The sequence below is a fragment of the Homo sapiens genome, chromosome 4, assembly GCF_000001405.40.
Source record: "Homo sapiens chromosome 4, GRCh38.p14 Primary Assembly".
NCBI lineage: Eukaryota > Metazoa > Chordata > Mammalia > Primates > Hominidae > Homo > Homo sapiens.
In genome coordinates, this window is record NC_000004.12 from 178,312,168 (window position 1) to 178,321,132 (window position 8,965).

Here is an 8,965-nt window from a genome sequence, read left to right on the forward strand (position 1 = left end):
CATGGACTCAGAGCCGTATATGAGAGTTGAAAGTAGTCATAAAATGTTCTATTGGTTTCGTACTTTCCAAGGTGCTAAAGGGGAAAAAAATATATTGGTATGAATGTATGAATTCAACTGTGGACTTCAGCTGATTCATTGGGCAGGAAACAGAACATAAGTACATTCAGATAATATCTAGGACAAGCAATAAATCTTTGAAAAAATATAATCCAGGAAACTAGTCACTTTTTAATTTTTATTCAAAGTATTAATTTGATTGATGTTTTCACTGAATTGACACATAGCCTATATTTGTACTGATTGAAATACTACATTACAGAAGATTCTACCTGCAGGTTTTGGTAAGGGGTAGGCTGATAGGAAGTGTTCTTATAAGAATATGTGACAAAGTACAGCTTTACCTACATGGAATTAGTCCTAAGAAATATGAATAATGTTATCCTTATGGATCAGATGTTTGCTGTAATTGGTCTAATGTATTAGTTTGGCATTAATTCTAGTCACACAGTTTGGTCCCATGTAAAATTTCAGAAGCACGATTTCTTCTTCCTGCTCTATCTTATGTTTCTCTGTCATTGCCTTAAACCTAATATGTTTTTCTCAAAAACTAAGTGTGAAATTACTGATTTGCAGAAAAGAAATAATACATACAATTTTGAGTCCAAATGCTCTAAAATTCACATATTTTCAACTCTACAAGTTTACTTCTAGAATATTTGAGTAAGCATAGAGTCATAGAGATAGCCAAGGTTTTGTTTCATAGTTGTTTTTTTTTCCCTGTAATGTATTATCAGCAACTAAAATAATTATTTAAATAAATTATAGTATATTCAGAAAATGGGTTTCAATCGGGTACTTCGCAGCCTTTAAAAATGTTATAGAATAACATCTACTAACATGGAAATATATTAATGATACTTCATAAACTGTTAATAATTAAACTTATTATGTAAATGAGGATGACCTTCAATAGGTGAATGGATAAAGAAATATCAATACAATGGTGTACTACTCAGAAATAAAAGGAATAAGCCATTAATTCATACCATGACAAAGATAAATCTTAAATATACTTTGCTAAACGAAAGAAGCCAGAACCAAAGCTGATGTATTATTTGAGTCCATTTAAACATCAGTTGGGAAAAGGCAAGCCAGAACAAAAGGCTGGAAAAGTGCTTGTGTGGGGATGCTTTTCTCCGTGTGGTCCTCCCTTTTGGTTGGTAAAGAAGGTGCCTAGTCACTAGTTCTAGGAGGATCAGGACTCATGAAGAAGACCTTTATCCTTTTTTTCAGTTGGATCCAAACTCTACTTAGTCTAGTCCTTGTTTGAACCCCAACTTGCCCATAGATGTACAACTGTGAAATGAATGCTCCTAGTAGCATAAAATTGGGATTTGTGGTTGATGAATCCAACATTATTACTGTTAAGGAACATTACTGTGGCAGTACGGAAATGATAAAATGTCTTGCCATAAAAATATGGTTAAATATTAAAACAAAATGTATAAAAAACAAATAAAAATGAGAATATCTTTGTGGAAAATGTAATATACAGTGATGTTTTACCTGTAATATACAAAGAGTGCCTATATGTGAAAAATAATTGTTAAATTCTTCAAAATAGGCAAAGAACTTAAACAGATTATATAAGGAGTACACATCTGTCTATAAAGAAAAATATTGCATTAGTACAAATAATGCAAATATTCTAAATATGTACAAATGTATAGAAGAATTTCTATGAATACATATTTTTACATAAGTAACACAAGTAGATGTCCAATATATCTTTTTTACAACAACAACAAATATCTGTACAGTATATCCAAATAAGATTATTAACAGATGCTACATCCATTTATCTATTAAATAATTAGTAAAAAGTACACATATATAAAGTTTAAAGATGATTACCTATAATACAAATTTAAATTAAATAGGTTTAAAATACCACAAATATATATACACCCATATATTTACACTTATTCTATAAGTATATATATATTTTAAATGACATATATTTTTAAAGTCACTATTTTTGAATGACACCCGTACACACACTAGAAGACTAGAAAGAATTGGATCTGAATATAAGAAATTCTTAGTCACTGGTTATCAAACTTTGTGTCGTAGGCTCTTAAAAATTATTGAGAATGTCAAAAGCTTTTATTTATGTCAAACCTAACTACTTATATTTATTATATTATAAATTTAAGCAGAACCTTTTGAAACACAAGAATACACAGACACACTTTCAGTGATCTGTCAGAACAATGGCGTACATTTAGCCTCTGCAATAGAATGCACAGGAAAGAATGAGAGTGAAAGAGTCAAATATAGTTTCAGTATTATTATGAAAGCGGTTTCTACCTGACTGCCTGAAAGTTTCTTTGGGAATCCCAGGTGCTCCTGGACTATACTTTGTGTCCAAATGTATGATGTAGGCAGTCATTATTAGTATTAATTTATTATTCATATCTTAATTTTACTTTAAACATAATTTACATTTTTAATCATATGTACCTTATTTTGAAATCAGAAAAATGGAAATTATTACAATTAAAAAGTCACTAGAAAAACAGACCTATTGTACAAAGATTCCAGTCTTACCTTTCTCAAGTCTGCTTACTGATTTTTCTCTTATGTCTCTATTCTTTCCCCTTCCCTTTGCCCTTCCTTTCTCCCTTCTGCTCTTTGACCCCAAACTCATCTTTTCTTCTTAGTTTATTAAATAAAAACCAAACTATATTACTATCAATATATTTTTACTATATGCAGTTCATATAGTCTCGTGATTGGCCAAAGTCTAATGGTTCCCAATAGGTCCTCAATCTTTAAGGCCCAGTCCAAACCTTCCACAATGAAGGAGAATCCTCTAAGTTTTCCAGCACACAAAGCTTTGCCTCTTTTTCATGTCACTGTGAGATCTTCATTCAATGCATCTGTTTTACTCTTCTCCTCCAAGCTGTATTTAAAGGAATTAAAAACAGCAAATCAGTATTATAGTTGATTATATTCCTCAGAGTATCATTTAACTTTCTCAATATTTACTTGGTATTTACTAAAGTAAAGTTGGCTTATCAATTGCTTTTGTATCTGGCAATGAACAACTGTCAACACATGGATAAATTATACTGTTAGGCATTCACACTGACTGGTAGGAAATAAAAACTTTTATTGTCATTAAAATGAAAATGACAAAATATCCTGCATATAGTTTTTACTGAGATGTAAAGTGAAAGTTGTTAATGTGGCTGCAATATCAAAGGTCACTGAATAGAACTTTCACTAAGAAGTGTATTGACAAATTACAATGTATAAGAAGGTATATGGAGAATTTAGAATTTGAGTGTAGAAATTTTTTCAGCATTTACTTTCTCTTCTTTGTCAAGTGCAGAAGTCCTTCTTATAGTTTTGAAGTAAAATATTGTAGTTTTTGCTAATAATAGTGGTAGTTTCATCCACAGATATTTTTTCAGAACTATATAGCTCCATAGAATTAACAGACCAACCTTGCTAGAAGAGATAGGGTTAATTCTTATGAATTCTTATGTAAACAATGCCGAATGTTGTCATTTTCTATAAAAACCATATGCTTTAATAACATTTTTTTTGAATTATTGGGAACTATTGAAATGTAAAGAATAAAGAATAAGATTCATATAAGATTTTAATGAATATTAACTACTATCAAAATTTTATTGCATTTATTTTATTTATATATCTCTGTACATAACTACAGAGAAAAAAGAAAGAGAAAAAGAGAGAGTTGCAGATATAATCTGAATATTTTTATATAATGTCTGGAACATAACATGACACAATTACACAATTTTGACAAGCAAAATTACCTAATTTTCTTGTGATAATTTGATTTCCTCTTTAATGCTACTTGAATATTTCCTAAGTGTTACTTGTTCATTCGTAATTTTTCTTTTGTAAATATTTTAGTCCTTCATTATGCTGCTTTTATTTTTCAATTAAGGCATTTGAAGGAATTCATATTGAATAGTGTGGATTATACTTTGAACCAGCACAAAGTGGTCATGAATTTGAATTGACAAACAGGCTTGCAGTGTACAATAGGCTTCAATCTGATACTGTGTCTAATTAGCTTTATGGACAGAGAGCACTGTCATGTCATCAGAAGGCCCAGCAGCTGCCCAAGGGTGCATCTTCCTGTGTCTCCTCACACACAGTGGACAGAGATGGCTCAAGAGCAAGAAGGCATTTGTGTCCCTAGCCTTGGCTTCCTGCCAGTCTTTTATACCACCCTATTCACGTATGTCAATGGCTTGTATGACAGCTCACAGCTACCACAGGCCAGGTGTTCGCTAACAGGAAACAAGAGACACACATCAACCCTCATTTATTTTAATACAGAAGTTTCAAAGGAAACAGAACTCTATATCTTTTATGCAAAACTGGGTCAGATCAGACCTGATGTTATCCCTTACTCTTACATGTAATTGGGAACTATTTTATAGGTTTATAAATTATATTTAACTCTCTTTAGGGTACTTTGATTTGTAAATCTCTTTTCATTTCTAATTCTATCAGTTATTGTTACTAGAATATTCAAATCTGATCATAACAATTGCTAAGTTAACAAAATTGATTATTCCCTCGGTATGGACCAGGAAGTTGTTCTAAATATTTACATGCATTATTTCACATACACGAATATACACACACATCATTAAAATGTAAGATGTATGAAGTAGATAATTTAGTCTATTTTATTTTCTTTTGTACTTTAGAGAATTGTCTATTTGAAGTTAGTTTATAGTACAATTAAAATAATTATGAAATAACTGAAATTTAAAGCATAAAGACAGGGTTAAGAAAAGTGAATCTTTAAATAAAATATAAAAAATATAAAAATGGATAAAATATAGTCAAGTCATGCATTATACATATATGTGTGTGCATATATACATTTATCTGTATGTATTTGTGTGTATCTTGCTCCTAGTTATATCTATCTATCATCTATCTATCTATCTATCTATCTATCTATCTATCTATCTATCTATCATCTGTCTGTCTGTCTAATCTCATCTTTATCTATACCCTAAGCCCTTCAACATTCTCTTCTTAGGCAACCATTTAAATATGCATTGCATGTATTTTCATGTGAATTTTATAATTTCTGTATTTCTGTTTTGTGTACCTACATGTTACATTTTTGCAAACTATATCATGTTGAATAAATGTATCTTTTTTCTACTCCATTCGCTATGCACAATGTGCTATGGACCTCAAAATCTACGTAGTAACATCTAAACTAGTGTTTTCTTCTTGCTATTTGACATTCTGTTTTTAACCCTACTCTCTCTATGATAAACATCTAGGCTGGCACCTATTCCTTCTATGTCTGCAAGTATTTTCCTGGGATATAAACACAGAATCAATGAATCAAAGATGTGCCTATACTTAATGTGACTAATCGGTGCCAAATACATTCATATTTGTAAGTGAGATTTTGCTAGTGTGTATGTCTGTATGTGGGTAGAAGTAGAAATGTGTATGTATGTGTGTGTACCTTGCAAATTTCAAAATTACTTACCTGATGAAATTTTGTCATTTATTGAAGAGGTCCCAACCTTTTTTGGCACCAGGGACCAGTTTCGTGGAAGACAATTTTTCTATAGTCAGGGGTAGAGGGGTCGGAGGAATAATTTTGGGATGAAACTGTTCCACCTCAGATTCTCATAAGGAGTGCACAACCAATATCCCTCACTTCTGGAGTTCAAAATAGGGTTCACGCTCCTATAAGAATCTAAGTCCATCACTGATCTGACAGGAGGTGGAGCTTAGGTGGTAATGCTCCCTCACCCGCCAGCTGACCTTCTGCTGTGCAGCCTGATTCCTAACTCGGGGGTTGACGTCCCTGCTTTATTGTATTCTGGATTAGTGAATATAACATGTGAAATAAATCTCAGGTAAAACTATCTCGCCTAATTCAAGTATATAATTGAGCATTTTATATTTGCAAAATTTCTGAGATTCTGAAATATTGTAATTTATAGTAATATTGCTTCCTTAACTCAAAAAGTTATACCATATCTATAATTAACTGTTTCTTCATTTATAATCCATGTTTGAACTTTTACATTTTAATGAATTAAAATTTTCTTTATATTTAAACATTATTTTCCTTTATATGTATTATTTCTAATGCTTACTGTTTTCTTTTTAATTTCTAATGTCATTTTAATAAATTTCTTTTACCTTGCTTTTTTTGTTTAATATTGTTAATTAACCACTTTAGATGTAGTTCAGTTCATTTATTTTTATAATTCCTGTTAAAGTGGCTATTATTTTATGTAAAAGAGTATTATTTATCAAATATATGCATAAAATAAAGCATTCAATATATATTATTTCATATTTATAAGTGCATGTTTGGTTTTATTATTATATTAATTTTTCTGTCAGAAAAATGTTAAATTACTCATAATAATTATGTGCAGATGTACCCAGAGGAGTCCTGGTTTATTACGGTTTTCTCAGTTATGATTCTTAATAATGTTACCTTCAAATTCAAAATAACAACTTGGACTATGAATTATTGGTCATTCTAATAAAAACAATTTATATCAATCTGTTATTTTAAATATTTGTTTCATATATAATGATGTTATGAAACAATAGTAAAGATAAAAATATCTACACTTTGAGAACTATGTACGATGTACTCTTTCAAATACTTTCCATATATGAAATAATTTAATACTCAAAGCAACCCTCTGAGAGGTTATTAACCTCAATACGTGAATAACTCAAGTGAGACAAAGAATTAAGTAAACTGCCTTAAGATAAGAAGATAATAAGTAGCATGTTTTCTGCTTTCATGATTTATTTTACAGTTTTTAGGTAGTTAATTTTATCTCCATCTAAGAAATTTTGATTCTTAATGGATTTGCTTAGATCATTTAACTTAATACTTAAAAATACATTTTTTTTTCAGCAACACATTGGACTAAGAGGGGCCAAGTCCTCATTCCCTCATAGTGACATCAAATTAACAAACAGAAACTGGCTAAAATAATTCTTGTAAGAATTCTGGGAAAACAAAACAAAACAAAAAACTTCACCAACCAAAGGAATGCTTATTCAAAAAAAATGCCAAATTCAAAATAGTATCAAATTTCATGGTGTTTTACTGGCCCTTGCCCCACCCATTTCTGCACAACATGGTTTTGAGCTGGAGGAGGTGGCATTCCAGTTGCTAGTTCCCTCCCTTGAGCCAAAGAGAGCAAAACAGGTATGTCCTGCAATGTTCTCACCTGTCTGGGGGCTCCCTGAAGGACTGGTCTCTATATTCACTAACTTGGATCTCAGGTTGGGATCCAAGGTTTGGAAAAGCAGTAGGGAGACTAATTCCCACAGATACTTGGAGCAAGACTTTACAGGCAGAGACATACAACAGACCTCCTAAGACTCCACGGAGAAGCTGGGCTAAGATTCCTTTGGAAGTTACAACACTGAAAATCGCCATGTATAAGGAGGCATTTTAAAAAGTCACACTCAGACCTAGGCAAGATGCATGCTCAGAAAAAAACTGGAGAAGAACTTAAGCCTTCATGCTGGGTTAATTCCAAGGTACAGAACATATCTGGCCTATTAGAAAAGAACTGCTCCAGCACAGAGCTGGTCTGCAAGACTGGGAATGTTGACTGTTTCTTCAACCCCTCTTCCCCACCAAAATCACAAGGCATGTAAAGAAACAGAACAACATGGCCGATTCAAAGAAAGAAAATAAAGTGACAGAAATCATCTCTAAAACTGCATGTATTACCTACTAGACAAAGGCATTAAAACAACTCTCTTCAATATGCTCAAAGAGCTTAACAAGAAATATGGACTTAGAACTATAAGAAATCAGGAAAAAATATTAACAAAATGAGATTATCAACAAAAAGATAGAAATGATAAGAATTAACCAAACAGAAATTCTGGAACTAAAAAATACAATATCTGAATTGAAAAATTCAGTGAAGGGTGTCAGCAGCAGATTTGAGCAGGCAGAAGAAATAATCAGCAAACCTGAAAATAGGATCTTTGAAATTATCAAGTCTGTGGAGAAAAGAGAAAAAAGTGAAAACCCTAAGAGACCTATGGGACAGTATTCAACAGACAAAAATATACATCACCGAGTCTCAGAAGGAGAATACAGAGAGAAATACAGTGCTTATTTTAAGAAGTAACAGAAAGAAATTTTCAAATTTGAGGAAAAACAAGAAATGCAAACCCCAAAAACTCAATATATTTCCAGTGTAAAAAACCCAAAGAAACTCACACAGAGACACACTCTAATCAAACTGTTGAAAGTTAAAAGAAAATATAGAATTTTTAAAGAAGCAAGATAAAAATGAGTCATCTTGTACAAGGAATCCTCAATAAGATTATAAGCCTATTACTTAGATGAATATTCTATAATTTTACTATATGAGGTACACAAAATAATCAATTCATACAGACAGAAAACAGAACAGAGGTTACAGAATCCCAGAAGGCAGGGTAATGGAGAATTAGAATTGAAAGTGTCCAGAGTTTTAGTGTGGAATGACAAAAAAGTTCTGGAGATGGATGGCGGTGATGCTTACACAACAATGTGAATGTAATTAATGCCACTGAATTGTGCACAGAAAATGGTCCAAATGGTACATTTAATGTTCTGTATATTGCAACATAATTTTTAAAAACAAAAAATGTGTTTAGTTTTTAATCAAATTGTTTCATCCTTCATGGTTTATGTGCTGACATGTGCTAATGTGACTTTCTGTTGATACAGATCGTTCTCTTTTCTTTTAAATTTTATAGATTTAAAAAGTATTCTTACTGTTGTAAGCTTTTACAACCCACCTTATTTTGTTGTTATTGTTGTTTTCAGTTTTGTTTTGTTTTAGACTTTCAGCAGCCTGAAGCCATGGTTTTTAGTTTCTGTCTCCTGTGA